Here is an 18,796-nt window from a genome sequence, read left to right on the forward strand (position 1 = left end):
AGAATTGTGCATGGCAGTAACCTGGGGAAATTAAAAGCAAATCTCTAAGTCTAGGATATCCCCTGAAGATTTTAATATGGTAAATCTAATATTTACTATTAAATATTACTGGGCATGTATGTTTTAAAATATTTCCTTGAAGCTGGGCATGGTGGTGCCTCTAGCCAGAGCAACAGATTAAGACACTGCCTCTAACAGCAACAACACAACAACAACAACAACAATAAAACATTTCTTGGGACACTGATACGCTGCTGGTTAAGAACCACTGAATAGATAAGTGTAATATAAATTCCCATATCTCAAACACACAAAAAATCTCTAGAAGAGCTGGAGATAGGTGCTGCTTCCTTTAAATTTCTCCTTTCCAATAATATTGGCCTGACTTTTACCTGTCTCTACCTCTGTGGTTGGGAAGTGGAAAGGACTATTATTTGCAGTATCTATCAGCATAAGAATAACACCTTTTCTTTGCCACCATCACTTATTCACTGCCATTCATAGGGTCATTAGAAATTTGCTATTGTGGACTCTTTTAATAAGTAGAGACTGACTCTTTCAGGACTCTGAGTCTCTTTGTTATCATTCTGGTGATTAGGTCAATACATCATTATTAAAAGCGGGGTTCTCTCAATTACAATAGCAAAAAATTCTAAACCTTTTTTTAAAGCTGAAGCTCTATTATGGACTGCCTCAGTATGTCAGTTAAGTACATAGAACTGTGGCATAATCAGGATAGCAGTTTTAAACACTGAAAACCATGAAGTTAGTAAGAATACAAAGAATACATATAGGTCATTATTAGAGCTTTAATTGATAAGCCATTGTATTTTTATTTCTGATTTATATTTTCCCTAAAATAAAAAAATTAGGTTACAATATAGAAACTAGAATTATAATTTAATATTATTTTAATAATTTAGTTGCAGCAGTCTTATGAACTAATTATCCATTTGGTGAACAATCTGGGAAAATTAAACATAAATTATAAATGAATGAATGTTGTAAAAGTGCTCAAAGTGGGTATTATGACTCTTAGTAACAATTTTTATTGTATTCTTGGGCCTATTTTGGAAAAAAAAATCTGAAACTAAAGAAAGGAAGTATTTTACATGAAAATACTTGTGTTACATACAATTGCTTGGAGACATATCCATAGCAAATATAAAAATACAAGGTATATAGTCCAAATGTGTCCCATACATGTGTTTAGTTTGTGTCTACAAATTGTCTCAACATGGAAGGTTTAGGAGACTCGTGCACAGATCTGGATTCCAGGCTTCTCTTCAAGAATCCAATCTGGTGTCCCTTGAGCCTATCTCAGGTTTTGGATGCTGTGCAGAGGTTGCCCCTTTCTATGAGGCATGTGGTCTCCATTTTGCTACTGTGCCTACCTAGGTACTTCACTTCCTCAGGTCATCTCCCTTGCCTCTGTAGGGATGACTTTACAAGCCCTGTTTTATAATATATTTTAGTAAATATTTCAAGGTTTTTAAGACATTTTATATTTATTTAAATGTAGAGTCTATATTTTATATAAATCCTTTGGTAATCGGGTTGAACTTTTGAATTTAGATGGTGGTGTTTTATAAACTATTTTTCTTTATACATACCATAAATAATCATCTTCCCATTAGAATGCATGTAAGCTTTTTAAGGTGAATCATGGTATGGTTGCATAGGTTATGCATATTGCAGACAACATTATATTTTTCTCTTCAGCATTGCCTCCTAAAAATGCAAGTAATTGGCCGAGCGCAGTGGCTCACGCCTGTAATCCTAGCACTTTGGGAGGCAGAGGCAGGTAGATCACGAGGTCAGAAGATTGAGACCATCCTGGCTAACACGGTGAAACCCCCTCTCTACTACAAATACAAAAAATTAGCTGGGTGTGGTGGCACACTCCTGTAGTCCCAGCTACTCGGGAGGCTGAGGCAGGAGAATTTCTCGTGCTTGAATCCGGGAGGCGGAGGTTGCAGTGAGCCAAGATGGCACCACTGCACTCCAGCCTGGGCGACAGAGCGAGACTCCATCCCAAATAAATAAATAAATAAAAGATGCAAATAATTTAGTGGCTTTCATTATGCTATAAATAATTCATATAGGTCATTATTAGAGCTTTAATTGATAAGCCATTGTATTTTTATTTCTGATTGATATTTTACCTAAAATAAAAAAAGTAAGAATTAATTGGAAACTAGAATACAAATAGATTTTTAAAGGAGTTATGTACCAGGGTCCTAAGATTATAATTACATAAATATTTGCATCAGGGTCCTAAGATTGTAATTGAGAATAACATTTCATACAGAGCTTTCTGACAGCTAAGATAAAAATATTACTAGAGAAAACCCATGGACTATTTAATAATAAGCAGTGAAAGTTCACTCGAAGCCTATCTCTATTAATTCAGAGCCCGGCTCTCCGAATTAAAAAGAGATAGGCTTCAAATGAACTGTCAATCGTGTCAGAATCTCAGATGACAATGTCAGGTGCTCAGGTGCTCAGGAGCTCCTGACATTGTCACCTGAGATTCTTACACCATCGATAGAAGAGAATGAGGCAAGTGTGTATCACCCAGAGGAAACCTCTACCTTTACTGGTAAGCTCTCACAACTGTATCCCTGAAACTCTCATTTCTCAAATGTTAACATTCTCCAAAATAAGTATTTACAAATAGGGATTAGGTGAAGTTCAAAAGATTTCTCAAATACTAGACACATAATGCAGTTTTGTAACATTTTTCAAACATGGGTGATCATGGAGTCTCTCTTTTGGGGTATAATGTTCAAATTCTGGTAAAGTAAATATCCTTTGGAATATATTAATAGTTTAAGAAACACCGCTCTATAGATAATAATTTAGATCATTAATAAAAATACCTGAAACATTTATTACTGTGTCTTAGAGTTTGAGGACATAGAGAAAAAAATACAGCTGCTGCCCTCAAGAAGCTCTTGGTTCAGGTGGGAAACAATTAAATCCTTGAAACATGCCATGCTAAATGCTGGGACAGAAGCAAAGATTCTTGGAACTGGGAAATGTTTGAAGTGAGTTTTGGAGATGACCAGAGTTCTTGTGGTGAGGCAGAGGAGGTTGTTTCCAGGGGAAGGAGCAGAACATAGAAAAGCACCGAGGAGGGAAAAGAAAGGGACTACCTCTTATGACCTTTCAATTGTATATATTGAAGCTCACAGGATCTTACTTACATAAGGTTTTCAGTTCAGTTGATAAATATGTAATTTTGTGATTATAAATTGTTGCTGTTATTTTACAGTGTGAATATCAGCCACTGTTATTTGCTGTGAGTCGAAGAAAAGTGAAAATGGTGGAATTTTTATTAAAGAAAAAAGCAAATGTAAATGCCATTGATTATCTTGGCAGGTACAGACCTTAGTTCTTATTGTGTCGTTTTTAAACCTGAGTGTCATTTTAGTGTGGTAGCAGTCCCTCAAGTCACAAATATTACATTAATAAGAAGACTAACTTGTAATTATTGGGATATAGTGAGAAATAACACAGATCATCACTTAGGTAGGAAAACAATTATTTGGACTGAGTAACATAAAGAACAGTGTATAGCAGGATTCGTCTCTCTCTATAGACATTATACACATAAAAGGCTTCTATATATAGAAAGCTCTGTATATTGATAGATGTTTGTTATTTGTAATATGATGTGGTGTTATTTACAATGTAATAATGTGATGCTTTTGATTGTATGATCTTACATTAGCTAAAGGGGTTTCATGTTAGTTTTTCATTTCTACTGTGTTTTGATGTTGTTTTTAATTGATATGGGGAGGGGGAGAAAAGATAGCTTTAAATGGATAAAACTTTAATGAAGACAAGCTTTAGGTTCACACAGGACTGGGTTTAATCCCTAGCTTTCCCACTTGCTAGATGTGTGACCTTGGTAACATTACTTATTGCCAAGTATGTTTTCTTCTGTGAAAAGGAGGGTAATAATATATCCTTCAAGGGTGGTTGTGTGTAAGTAACATTATATATATATATATATATATATAATGTTAGAATGTCCAGCTAACAGAGCAAGGTGCTGATGTTTTGGAAACAATGGCTGAGCATATAAGTATGTGCATATATTATATATACACACATATGTATGTAAGAATATAATGTAAGTAACATCATATATAATATATAATATATACAATATATACTTTATAGATAATATATAATACACTATATATTATATATTTTATAGATAATATATAATATACAATGTATATTATATATTTTATAGATTATATATACTAATTTTATATATATGTGATATTACTTATACACAACCATCCTTGAAGGATATATTATTATCCTCCATATTTATATATATATATATATAGTGTTTAATTAAATGCCTATCACACGCTTATCAGCATCATTAACTGAAGCTATGACTACTACTATTAGCATTCCTATTAATATTATTGTTTTAAGCCTGCAGATAGCTCTTATCTGACCCTTCAGCTGATTTTGCATTATAATGTATAGTATCATACTAGGGAAGAAATGAATAATTTTTCACTTAAATTTGCCTACTGTAGATAGGTGGCCTGAGCATAGTTTCTTGCCCATCAAAGGACTTTAAGTTAGCAACTTTATGTCATACCACCCACAGTAGGACAAGAGGCTTCCTTTTTGTTCCTTGCTTTTAACCTTTGTGGTAACTTGCAAAGATAAACCCTTGAGCACCCAAGATGCTTGTTTCTTAGTACATGTAATTGGGTTAATTCTACATGGACAGGCAACATATTAAGTTGATAAAGTATATAAACTTAGCTTTTAAAATGTCATTAAAGTTTTTAATTACCTCTCTGTTATTTTAGATCAGCCCTCATACATGCTGTTACTCTTGGAGAAAAAGATATAGTCATTCTTCTTCTGCAGCACAATATTGATGTGCTTTCTCGAGATGCGTTTCGAAAGATTGCAGGAGATTATGCCATTGAGGCTAAGAATAGAGTGTAAGTCTTTACATAAAAAGGCTAGTGAACACTAAATTGAAGTTTAAAATAATTGTAACAATTGCATCTTATATATCAGGTGAGATTTCATAGTTTGGTTCAAGTAGTTTTCAAGTGACAAATTTTCAAGTTTTTAAGTTTTCGAGAGTTGTGCAACTTCATCAGCCAGAAATCAAGCAAAAGAAATCAAGAAAAAGGCTAGATAAGTAGCAGTAGGTGCAAGATTCTTGATATTGAAACTTTCAGGACTTTTCTCCTTAGGGATTCCAATGTTGTCCATTTTATTTCTAGTATAACCCCTATGCATAGGGTAAAGTAGTTTCACATCTTTGATTTTTCTAATTAGTTATTTGGGTCTCAAAATGTCCAGTTTATCAAAAAACCTTGAGCTGTGTACTGGGGACCATCTACTATAGCCTGATCATGGAATTTTTCAAGAACCTAAGGGGTTCCCTAAGTCCAAGGAAGACAATCAGTGTCTACAAGTCAGAAGGAGAAGGGGAAAGGACATTCTAATCATTGCTTTGTTTTCATTGATTCTGTTGCTGCTTTCTTACCATTGAAAGTACTCTTGCAGTCTGGTAGTGATTAACCTTTGCTACCAGCATGCCCTTTCTGTTTGACATCCCTCAATCTTCATGTTGATCCATAAAAAGGCTTCAAAGTTACAACTGGTTTTTTTTAGTTCAGTTGCACATACTTATATGCTCAGCCATTGTTTCCAAAACAGCAGAACCTTGCTCTGTTAGCTGGATATTCTAACTTTATCAACACACATACGGAGCAAATTGACACTTTCACCCACACTCAAAACCTTATGTAAAGCCCACATTTTAACCTGGGCTTCTAGACCTTCATGGTGAGTTATTTTTTGAGTCCCTTTTTTTTCTCTTTAAAGCAAATATTAGTTGGGATAGTTCTAAACTGTCAGAGATATTCAAATAATGTTGTAGAAAGAGATCACAGTGTTCTTCTTTATTGCTACCAGATCTGTACCCTGAGACTTTTTATATAAACAGCGTAAGAGCTTTTCTCAGGTAGTGGAAGCTTCTATGCCATCCTTCCTTAGAGTAGTAGGTATCAACTTGTGGTTGGCCCCTCAAGTGATCTGTTATCTATAATAATGAAGATCTCTCAAGCTGCTTGCATCAGTATCTCAAGTTTATAAAATATTTTCGGATTCTATTTCACAGGAAGCCATTCATCGGAATTATCTGAGTCTCAAGTTTGTTAGTTAGATTTAACAGAGCTAACCCTCATCTATGACTTATCAGCAGTTATATGTAAAAGTAAGGCTTTGTGCTTGCTTTGGCAGCACAAATACTAAAATTGGAACAATACGGAGAAAATTAGCATGGTGAAGCATTTCATATTTTGCAGTCACGGGAAGGTCATTTGACTGTTTGCTGGCTAGCTAAGTCATAGTTTGAATCAAAACAAAATGGGTGGCCCCTTATATTAGAATTGTGATTTTTCACTACAAAAACATTTGTGTAAGGTGATCTATAAACTGAGAATGGAGATAAGTAACACATGGGGTGTTGTGTAAATATTTTGTTAGTATGTATCTTGGAAATGAGAAAATGTCAACTTGCATCTACTTCATGGAACTTAAAAAAAATGAAAGTAGGGTTTTGTCTTCCATGTCAGTTGGAGATAACATCACTGATGGAGATGAACCATCATTCTAGCAAACATCTGCTCATTCAGTTAGAGTCTGTAGAGAAGTAATAGTGGTAGCCCAAGCCAGATCTTGACATCTGTTAGTTTTCTGCCCTTGGAATTGATGAGCTCAATAATAGTTAACAATCGTGTTACCTATTTTAATGAAATAATGTATTCATAAGTTATTTATGAATTATGAAATAGTTGAGATAACCTGAATTATAAGCCACAAATAATAGAACAATAAGCAAAATTAGGACTTAACATTTTTCTTAAACTGAAGCATTTGAATATTAGAACCTATGAAAAAATACACATTGGGTTTGATTTGGGATTTCAAAATAGTTTCAGCAATAAATTTCAAGAACAAACTCCACTGCTTTACTATTTCTCTGTGAATGTTAAAAATGCTGCTTCATTAAACCTATATAACAACCTAGTGAAAGAAGATAGTAAAATCTAGAAGAAGACATTGTGCCTAAGAGAAGCAACTTGTTTAAGAGCAAATACCTGTTGGCTATAGAGCCAGGACCTTCCAGTAAGAGCCAGGAAGGTGACTTTCCATTATGTCAAGCTGATGTGAGATAGTTTGCTGAGCTATACTGCCTTCACTTCATGAGTACTTCACCTGTTTTTATTATTTAATTAGAAAGGTACTAAGAAGTTTGTAGAGCTTACAAAAGAGAAGTGTATAGGATAATTAACATCCTGATATTGTTCAAGATACTCTAATAATTTAGTATATTTGGTAAATGTTTTTGATAATAGTATTAAAATATTAATTTCATTTATTTTTATGCATAGCATTTTTGATCTAATTTATGAATACGAAAGAAAGAGATATGAAGATCTTCCTATAAATAGCAATCCAGGTAAGATTTCTGATAGTGAATTACTCTTGATGGTACTACCATAGATAAAAAAGAATAAAGATGTTTTGATTACAAAAAAGCAGTTTAAAAAAATCACTGTTTAAATTGCACACATTTAAAAAATACTTAGTAGTCTAGATTTTATAATTATTTAAAAAGTTAATTGTAGGTAATTTATAATGTCAGTATTGTTTGAAAAAAATTATTATTTAATTATGGTTCCTAATATTCTAGATGACCTTTTTGTGTAAATAAGAAAACAAATTTTTAAGTTATTATGTTGTATGTTTTTTTATAGTCACATAATAATGAATTAGACTTTTTATATAATTAGAACTTCTATTTAATTTGTAAAATAAATTCTTTGCAATTACTAAATGAATCAATAATTACAGTTGGCCCTTGAACAACATGGGATTTAGTGCTGCCAATCCCCATGCTGTTGAAAATACGTATTTGGTATGTTGTATATATTATATATTGTATTCTGAGTACAAGAAAGTAAGCTAGAGAAAGAAAGCTTTTGCAGTAGTTACAGCTGTAGTTTCCTTGTAGTTCGATGCTTGAACTACTCTCAATCTAGTGTAAGGTGTTCACCCACCCATGGTAAAATAAAGTAAATTTACTCCATTTACTCATTTTAAAATGTTGGTCTTTTTCTTGCCCGCATGCCTTCTTCATTTGTTTTACTTAATTTTTTATTTGTAAAAAAACAATAATAGTTGATAGGGACTTTTTTTTCCTGTGAAAACCATCAGTGAAGAGGCCATGTTGATCTAGGAAATATAAAAGTATTTATTTGGTGGCAGTAGAAATATAAAGCAGAAGCAGAAAATAGGTACAGTTAGTTAATATGATTTAGTGAACATTGAATGTAAAACATTAGTGAGGAGAGAGAAATCTTGGATCATTCATAGGTTTCCGGGTTGTGTACTGGCCTTTATACTGCACACAAGAAAGGAGTAGGACGTGTTCACTGAATGGAGAAGTACAGCTGGTCAACAGGGAAGAATAACTTCCCTTTCCTACAAATCTGAGGTTGGAGATGCAGACGTAGAATGATGTTATTATAATTATTAGGCAAAGTCATCGATCTCAATGAGCTGTCCATGATGCAGATGTAGAATGAGAAGCTATCCTGTGACAAAACCCTGGGAATGTCAACATTCCCTCCCAACCCCCAGGAAAAAAAGAGTTGGTAAAGGAGAATGAGCAGTGGCTAGAGAAAACTAGGAGAGGAGTCAGAGGAAGTGATGTTGCAAAAATAAAAAAAGTGAGAATTTTAAGGAGGGAGTATGAATTCTAACAAGTAAGATTACTCAAAAGCCAATTAGATTTAACTTTTAAAAGCTCTTTGGCGGTACCCTTTTCAAAAGAACCATTTTTGAGGTGTAATGTGGGCTATTGATGTGATTGGTATGTCTGTTGTCCAAATATGGGGAACAAATCTACCAAGATCCTGTGTAACCCTTTTGTAACTGCAGAAGCTACGTGCACAGGGTCAGGGAAAATGGTCTTGACTTCTGAGTACATGTGCCCACACTTTTACAGAATTGTCAAAACCTAAGGGTAATGTGTGAGAAAAACTGTGGTCTTCTTATCTGCTCCTTGTGGAAATACTTAGTTTGTACTGAAATCCCTGATAAGTTCTTCTGGATGCATTCTGAAACAAAAGTCTGGCAGTAGTAACTGGAACCAGCTTGTCCAAAGCACATACATCCCAACTCCCTCCAACATGGAATCATAACACAGCCGCATTTCGAGAGTTTCAAGTTTCAATCAGAAGTAGTCTACAGACATGTGCATGTGTCTTTATAGCAGCATGATTTATAATCCTTTGGGTATATACCCAGTAATGGGATGGCTGGGTCAAATGGTATTTCTAGTTCTAGATCCCTGAGGAATCACCACACTGACTTCCACAATGGTTGAACTAGTTTACAGTCCCACCAACAGTGTAAAAGTGTTCCTATTTCTCCACATCCTCTCCAGCACCTGTTGTTTCCTGACTTTTTAATGATCGCCATTCTAACTCTGGTGTGAGATGGTATCTCATTGTGGTTTTGATTTGCATTCCTCTGATGGCCAGTGGTGATGAGCATTTTTTCATGTTTTTTGGCTGAATAAATGTCTTCTTTAGAGAAGTGTCTGTTCATATCCTTCGCCCACTTTTTGATGGGGTTGTTTGTTTTTTTCTTGTAAATTTGTTTGAGTTCTTTGTAGATTCTGGATATTAGCCCTTTGTCAGATGAGTAGGTTGCAAAAATTTTCTCCCATTCTGTAGGTTGTCTGTTCACTCTGATGGTAATTTCTTTTGCTGTGCAGAAGCTCTTTAGTTTAATTAGATCCCATTTGTCAATTTTGGCTTCTGTTGCCATTGCTTTTGGTGTTTTAGACGTGAAGTCCTTGCCCATGCCTATGTCCTGAATGGTATTGCCTAGGTTTTCTTGTAGGGTTTTTATGGTTTTAGGTCTAACGTTTAAGTCTTTAATCCATCTTGAATTAATTTTTGTATAAGGTGTAAGGAAGGGATCCAGTTTCAGCTTTCTACATATGGCTAGCCAGTTTTCCCAGCACCATTTATTAAATAGGGAATCCTTTCCCCATTTCTTCTTTTTGTCAGGTTTGTCAAAGATCAATAGTTGTAGACATGCGGCATTATTTTTGAGGGCTCTGTTCTGTTCCATTGGTCTGTATCTCTGTTTTGGTACCAGTACCATGCTGTTTTGGTTACTGTAGCCTTGTAGTATAGTTTGAAGTCAGGTAGCGTGATGCCTCCAGCTTTATTCTTTTGGCTTAGGATTGACTTGGCAATGCGGGCTCTTTTTTCGTTCCATATGAACTTTAAAATAGTTTTTTCCAGTTCTGTGAAGAAAGTCATTGTTAGCTTGATGGGGATGGCATTGGATCTATAAATTACCTTGGGCAGTACAGCCATTTTGACAGTATTGATACTTCCTACCTATGAGCCTGGAATGTTCTTCCATTTGTTTGTATCCTCTTTTATTTCATTGAGCAGTGGTTTGTAGCTATTCACAATAGCAAAGACATGGAACCAACCCAAATGTCCAACACTGATAGACTGGATTAAGAAAATGTGGCACATATACACCATGGGATACTATGCAGCCATAAGAAATGATGAGTTCCTGTCCTTTGTAGGGACATGGATGAAGCTGGAAAACATCACTCTCAGCAAACTATGGCAAGGACAAAAAACCAAACACTGCATGTTCTCACTCATAGGTGGGAATTGAACAATGAGAACACATGGACACAGGAAGGGGAACATCACACACCGGGGACTGTTGTGGGGTGGGGGGAGGGGGGAGGGATAACATTAGGAGATCTACCTAATGCTAAATGATGAGTTAATGGGTGCAGCACACCAACATGGCACATGTATACATATGTAACAAACCTGCACGTTGTGCACATGTACCCTAAAAGTATGAAAAAAAAAAAGAAGTAGCCTACATACGAGCAGTTTGGAGAAGCTGATGTCTTTTATAATAATGTCATGGAGAAAAATATAAGGTGATATGCTAAGTATACCAAGTCTCTGTGTTCTGGGACACTTTGTTTTAGTGCAATTCCCTTTTCATGACCTCTTGTAATATCTCTGCTTTTACTGTTTTCTTTTTTAATTTCACCCCTAAAGAAAATATTATTAGAACACATTTCTAACACAGGTATTTTTGACAACTATATATGATTTTCTTTTAAGAGAATTAGCTACCTGTTCTAAAGTATATCTGGTATTCTATTAATCTTTAATGCTAAACTTCTTTATATCTTTAGCACAGTGACAGTGTAAGTGATGCTGCTCCTTTAAGATTTTAAGTTTCTTTTAAATTTTCAAACTTTATATGTCTTTTAAATTTTCAAATTAAGTTAAGACACTTAAGGTGTATTTAAAATTTTCAAACTTGACATAGTTTTAATGTAAAACACTTTTCTGGTATTATATTTCTTCAAATATTGGTAATCTGTTACTTAGCTGGAATATTTGGTCAGTTGGATTACCACACCTTTAACCATTTATATATAAGTTTCTTGATTTTTTTTTTTTTGAGATTGAGTCTTTTGCTGTTTCCCAGGCTGGAGTACAATAGTGTGATCATAGCTCACTGCAGCCTCAAACTTCTGGGTTCAGGTGGTCCTCCTACCTCAGCCTCCTAAGTCGGTGAGACTGCTACAAGCATATGCCACCACACCAAGCTAACTTTTTTATTTTTTATTTTTTAGAGACAAGGGTCTCTCTCTCTTACCCAGGCCAGTCTCAAACTTTTGGCTTCAAGTGATCCTCCTGCCTCAGCCTCCCAAAGTGCTGGAATTATAGTCACGAGCCATCGTGCTGGTCTATAACTTCCTTTATTCCCCAAAATGAGTTTAAAGTCCTATTGGCCCTTAATAAGAAAAACCCACTGTTTGGGAGCCGAAGTGGATAACTCATCCTACATTTTAAATGCAGTTTTTGACTTTTTGACCTGTTCTATGAAGAACTGCCCTTAACAGATGATTTTTAGTTTTAATAGATATTTTTAGTTTTATAAGAACTTAAGAAAAAAGATTAGAAACAAATTAAATGAGCTCTATGATCGATAGTACAGTGTTATAGCCAATGGCTACATATATTTCTATAATTATCACAATGACCTGAATGATGCAAATTATTTTATGTATGTTTTTATTAATAGATTTTTTTTTTTGAGGCTGAGTCTCGCTCTGTTGCCCAGGCTGGAGTGCAGTGGCACGATCTCGGCTCACTGCAAACTCTGCCTCCTGGGTTCAAGCGCTTCTCCTGCTTCAGCCTCCCAAGTAGCTGGGACTACAGGCCTGCACCACCACGCCCAGCTAATTTTTATATTTTTAGTAGAGTCGGGGTTTCACCGTGTTAGCCAGGATGGTCTGCATCTCCTGACCTTGTGATCTGCCCGCCCCAGCCTCCCAAAGTGTTTGGATTACAGGTGTGAGCCACCGCCCCCAGCCTACTAATACATTTTAGAGACAGGGTCTCACTCTGTTTCCCAGGCTGGAGTGCAATGGTTGTTCACAGGCACAATCTCCACTGCAGCCTCAAACTTTTGATCTCAAGCAATCTTCCTGCCTCAGCCGTTGGAGTAGTTGGGACTACAGGTGTGTGTCATTGCACCTGGCCTGATCCCCAATTATTATAAAAGAAACCTTGGTGAGTTGAAGACAATTGGCTGTGATCTTTTTGTTTCTCTTCTAGAAGCTTTCATACTATGGGATATATTTTTAATCATCCATATTCTCAAATTTTTATTCTGGTTAAAATAGGATTGCTGCTTGTTTTTCATTATTTTTTGGCATAATTATTTCTATTCCTTTATGGATTTATTCATGCGGAAATACAGGAATCTCAAAGGCAACCGTTAAGGAGAACAGATTAGGGAAAGGTGTTTTATAAACAGCCTTCTGATCGTAGTCACAGGTCACATCACCTTAAAGAAAACTAATTTCATATAATGCCATTATGTCAGAGTTTCCCAAGACCACCTCTGTGTTTGGCGATTCACTTGGAAGGACTCAGCAAACAGTGCTACTCTGGGCTTTGATTTGTTACAGTGAAAGAATACATAGTAAAATTGACTCAGGGCAAAGGGGCATGTGGCAAGTCTTGGGGAAGCCAGGCACAAGCTTCCGGGAGCCCTCTCCTGTGGAGTTACCAGGATGTGCTGAATTCCTGTAGCTTCGAATTTTGACAGCACATGGGCAATATTGTCTACCAGTATGAGTCTGACTAGAGACTTACACAGTATCCAAGGTTCTTATGGAAGCTAGTTACATAGGCATTCTGTCTCACACATATACAAAAATTCCACACTTCCAGAAGAAAAGCAGCTGTTCAGAGTCAACCACATTGTTTATGCAAACAGTTTAGGTACAGTGAGCTACTTTTCTCAGGAAATGGTGACAAACCTTTAAAATACAAATTTCCAAACACCAGCGAAGGGCCAGTTTTGCATGTAGGCCTTTCTAAGAATGACAGTCTTATGACTGTTATATGCATTATTTTCTTCACAGCAGTTACAGCCCCAACTTAATTTTAGGTGTCTTAAAAATTCTATTTGATAGTGAATAACATGGTAATATAACATAGCATGGTGCTTATTTCATTTGCGTCAGTTGCAACTTAATATGAAATACTAAGTTTCTGTGCTGTTAGATTTTGGAATTTTGGTGAATATTTAACAGGTCTCTATACAGAAGTTACTATGGCAATATTAGATAATTATAATCTGTTCTTATTCGATTAACCTTTCAGTAAAATGGTTAGATAAAATAAGTAATGATTTCTCATTTAAAATTAAAATAAAAAATTTGTTTCATTTTAATTATATAGATGGTTCAGTTTTGTTTTATATTTTGTTAAATTTCTGTTTATAATTATGAAATTTAAAAAATCAATCATTTATCAATTATTTTCTTGCCTGTAAATACAGTTAAGTTATTTGCTTTATGTACTTTTATATACTATAATTCTGGAGAGAATATTCATATTGTGTTTCAAATTGAGTACATATTGCCATAATATATGTTAATATAGCAATATATTAGTAATAGAAGATTCAGTGAAAATCTTTTTAAAAAATTAATAACTTTATTTTAAGAGCAGTTTTATATTCTCAGCAATATTGAAAAGAACCTAAAGAGATTTTTCATATACGCCATCCCCCCTCACGTGCATAGCTCCCCCCATTTTCAATATCTCCCACCTGAGTGGTACATTTGTTACAACTGAGAAGCTTACATTGTTGCATCATAATAATCACCCAAAGTCCATAGTTTATATTTAAGTTCCCTCTTGGTATTGTACCTTCTATAAAGCTGGACAAATGTATAATAAATGTACCCGCCATTAGAATACTTTTGCTGCCCTGAAATTTGTCTCTTTTTTTATTCCTCCCTCACAACTAACCCCTGTCAACTACTAATATTTTTGCTGTCCCCATAGTTTTGATATGTCCAGCATAGTCATATATTAAGGATAACATAGTGGATATCTTTTTCAATATTACAGAACATAATTTCCAAGATAGTTGAATGTATTCAATTAAGCTATCCATTGTGCTTTTTTGCTTTTAGTTTATTAATGTAGGATTTAATGGCATATGCTTTACATGTTGAAAAAGCATAATTTATATAGACATTTGCCACATAATGGGGAGGGTTGAGGAAAATGACTTCATGCTGTGTACTACACAGCACTAACTGGATCATCCTTCTCTGTGAGATGGGTCCAGATAGACTAGCAGTGGAAAGGGACAATCTCAAGACGTTGTACTTTATAAAACGAGTCAGAAAGTCTTTCCTATTTACCTTGCAGTTGGAAATAAGACCAGCTAGTAAATACTGTAGGCATACAAATATGTTTCTTATTCACCTTCTTTCTTTGAGGGATCACTTTGAAGACAGTCTATATTATTATAACATGACTCACTTATAACTAGGTTCTCCATCATGAAAAATGCCAAGAGAGTCATACTATTTTTGTTTACATAAAGTGACAAAGATTTGTTGTTGTTGTTGTTGTTTTTCCCACTAGGTAGTGAGACAACTGTTGGCACATCTTGGTAGCTCCAGTGAGTTTATGGTTCCTTTATATATATTTTATATATTAGAAAGTACTCCCTGGCAACTTGCCATACCATTCCCAGTATTTCTTTGTAAGCTTCTCTCTGACAAGGAAACAAGACTCAGATTGGATAAACTTTTAAGGGAGTGATATTTTCTCTGTGTGTGTTTTTTTGAAGGAGCTAAAAAAGAAAGCTGAATTTAAGGATTGTTTGTGCCCTACATAGGGTGAATGAATAGCTAGAACTAAGCAAGCTTACCGCATCTTCCCTAGGAGAGGATTAGTGAGAGTAAGGACACTGATCTCTCTTAGGCTCTTCTGCACTGGCAGCTGAAAAGTCTTTGCAGGGATCCTTGACCCTGCTCTGTATCCTGTGTTTTGCCATAGAATAGAGTACAGTTTTCATAGATCTAGATTTTTTGAATTAGAGTGCTTTATCCTAAATAGTTTAAACTGAAGAGGTGGAGAAACTGTTGTGTTTCAACAAAATAAGTACAGTAATTTCCTCTTACACATGGGGGATACATTTCAAGACCCTTAGTGAATGCCTGAAAACATGAATAGTGCTGAACTCTATGTGTACAATAATTTTTAAAAATACATATATATCTATAATAAAATTTAATGCATAAATTAGGCACAATAAGAGATTAATAATATCTAATGGTAAAGTAGATCAATTGTAACAATATACTGTAGTAAAAGTTATGTGAATGTGAGCTCACAAAATATCATGTACTATAGTCACCCTACTTTCTGCACTGATGTGAGATGATAAAATGGCTATGTGATAAGTGAGGCAAATGCAGTAGGCATTGCCATGTAGTCTTAGGCTACTATTGACCTTCTATTTGACTATATGTCAGAAAGAAGATCATCTGCTTCACGTGATCCTGGATCCGTGAACCATGATGATATTGTTGGTTGGATGTTAGGTACAGATTATGTCAATGACTAGTGAGTAGATATCATATATAATGTGTATGCACTTGACAAAGGGACGATTCACATCTTGGGCAGACTGGGATGTAATGGCTCAAATTTTGTCATACTACTCAGAATCTTAGGCAATTTAAACCTTATGATGTGTATACATCTGGAATTTTATTTATGGACCATGGTTGACCATGGGTAACTGAATCTGCAGTCAGTAAAACCACCAATGTCATATTATGAAATATATATTTGGTCTTCAACCCCATTTTCTGTCATACAACTCCTAAAATCCTCAGAATTTCCAAGATGATATCATCTGTATGCTAATGATTGACTTATGGCAGGCAGCCTCCAGATGGCTTCAGGGTGGGGCTCATCATCATAGTGATCAGGGTGTGATTAGAGGGTTGGGACTTCCAGCCCCACCCCTCACCTCCTGGGATGTGAGAGGGGCTGAATGTTCAATTAATCAGTCATGCCTATGTAATGAAGCTTTCATAAAATCCCAAAAGGATTGGATTTGGAGAGCATCCAGGTAGCTGTATTCAGCTACCTGGATGCTCTCCAATACATGAAGGCATATGGAGAATACATGGATGTTCCCAGAGGGTGAGTGCCCTGGGAGGACATGGAAGCATGTTACTTTCCCCCCGTATCTTGCACTATGCATCTCTTTATCTGTATCCTTTAATATTCTTTATAAGAAACTGGTAAATGTGTTTCCATGAGTTCTCTGAGCCACTCTAGTAAATTAATCAAACCAAAGAGGGGGTCCTGGGAAACCCAACTTGAAGTCCAACTGGAAGTTGATTAGAAGTTCTGGAGGCCCAGACTTGTAACTGCTGTGGGGGAATAGCCTTGTGGTACTGAGCCCTCAAAATGTGGGATCTGACACAATCCCCAAGTAGGTAGTGCCAGAATTACAGGGCACCCATAGGAATTGATTGTTTGCTTGTTGCTGGGGAAAAATACATATTTGGTCACAGAAATCTTCTGTGCTGATGATTGTTGTTGCGGTGTGAGAGAAGAGGAACATCATGTTGAATATGTGTTTTCTACACATACAGCAGATAAGGGGGACTGCTGTTCTAGCTGCACCTGGTTCATTTGTCCAGAAATCATGTTCTTTGACAATGCCTGCTCATTATATTGATTCTACTAATGATGCCATTTTCTGTCAGTGTGATAGGATTCTGTTAGAATTATGACTATTTTATACTGCAATTCACATGTAAGGTAACAAATTTTGATAATCTTCTTTGCATTTGATAAGTATATGCTAAGCACATAAGAAAGGAAAAAGGGTTCTTAATTCATTAGTTGCCTACAAATAGTATAAATAATAATTTTAGTGTAGCCTCCAAGTATGTTTCTAAAGAACTGCTTTGTAACAAATCATGAGAGTCTCTGTAATAAAGCATCAAAGTCTTATACTTTTTTTCCTACAAGGTCTAAGGCATGTACAAAAGTTCATAATTTTTTTTTTCTTTTGAGATGAAGTCTCACTTTGTCACCCAGGCTGGAGTGGAATGGCACAATCTTGGCTCACTGCAACCTCTGCCTCCTGGGTTCAAGCGATTCTCCTGTCTCAGCCTCCCGAGTAGCTGGGATTACATACGTGTGCCACCACACTCAGCTACTTTTTTTTTGTATTTTTGTTGAGATGGGATTTCACCATGTTTGGCCAGGCTGGTCTCAAACTTTTGGCCTCATGTGATCCACCCACCTTGGCCTCCCAAAATGCTGAGATCACAGACATGAGCCACTGTGCCCAGCCTGCATGATTTTTTTTTTAATAAAGAGTCTTGCTATGTTGCCCAGTCTGTTCTCAAACTCCTGGGCTTCTCAAGTGATACTTCTGCCTCAGCCTTCTGAGTAGCTGAGATTACAGGAACAAGCCACTGTACATATATATATATACACACACACACACACCGAGTATATGCCCAGTAATGGGATTACTGGCTCAAATGGTATTTCCGGTTCTAGATCCTTGAGGAATCACCACACTGTCTTCCACAATGGTTGAACTAATTGACACTTCCACCAACAGTGTAAAAGCATTCCTATTTCTCCACATCTGCTCCAGCATCTGTTGTTTCCTGACCTTTTAACGATTGCCATTCTAAATGGCGCGAGATGGTATCTCATTGTGGTTTTGATTTGCATTTCTCTAATGATCAGTGATGATGAGCTTTTTTTCAGATGTTTGTTGGCTGCATAAATGTATTCTTTTGAGAAGTGTCTGTTCATATCCTTTGTCCACTTTTTGATGAGATCGTTTGTTTTCTTGTAAATTTATTTAAGTTCCTTGTAGATTCTAGATATTAGGCCTTTTTCAGATGGACAGATTGCAAACATTCCCTCCCATTCTGTAGGTTGCCTGTTCACTCTGATCATAGTATTGGAAGTTCTGGCCAGGGTAATCAGGCAAGAGAAAGAAATAAACGGTATTCAAATAGGAAGAAAGGAAGTCAAATTGTCTCTGTTTGCAGATGACATGATTGTATATTTAGAAAAACAAATTGTCTCAGCCCCAAATCTCCTTCAGCTGATAAGCAACTTCCTCATGGTCTCAGGATACAAAGTCAATGTGCAAAATTCACAAGCATTCCTATACACCAGTAATAGAGCACTAAATCATGAGTGAACTCCCATACACAATTGCTACAAAGAGAATAAAATAGCAAGGAATACAACTCACAAGGGATTTGAAGGACCTCTTTAAGGAG

At 35.8% G+C, this 18,796-nt stretch overlaps 1 protein-coding gene across 50 annotated transcripts in view; it reads left to right on the forward strand.

Annotated features, from left to right (window-relative positions):
* Positions 1-18,796, forward strand: part of ANKRD36 (ankyrin repeat domain 36) — a 151,369-nt gene that overhangs the window by 6,457 nt on the left and 126,116 nt on the right. For 40 of the 50 annotated variants that reach the window (XR_007074204.1, XM_017004009.2, NM_001354587.1 and 37 more), the window contains exons 4-6: positions 3,278-3,384; positions 4,851-4,988; positions 7,458-7,525. The exons of 4 other annotated variants lie outside the window; for them this stretch is intronic. Coding sequence is in view for 45 of the 46 variants with exons in the window: in XM_017004009.2 (XP_016859498.1) it covers positions 3,278-3,384; positions 4,851-4,988; positions 7,458-7,525 (313 nt within the window). In the remaining variant the exon portion in view is untranslated. The remainder of the gene's footprint in view (positions 1-3,277; positions 3,385-4,850; positions 4,989-7,457; positions 7,526-18,796) is intronic. 6 more of the 50 variants (XM_017004024.2, XM_047444233.1, XM_047444237.1 and 3 more) reach the window with 2 other exon arrangements.

Source organism: Homo sapiens, chromosome 2, assembly GCF_000001405.40.
Source record: "Homo sapiens chromosome 2, GRCh38.p14 Primary Assembly".
Classification (NCBI taxonomy): Eukaryota; Metazoa; Chordata; class Mammalia; order Primates; family Hominidae; genus Homo; species Homo sapiens.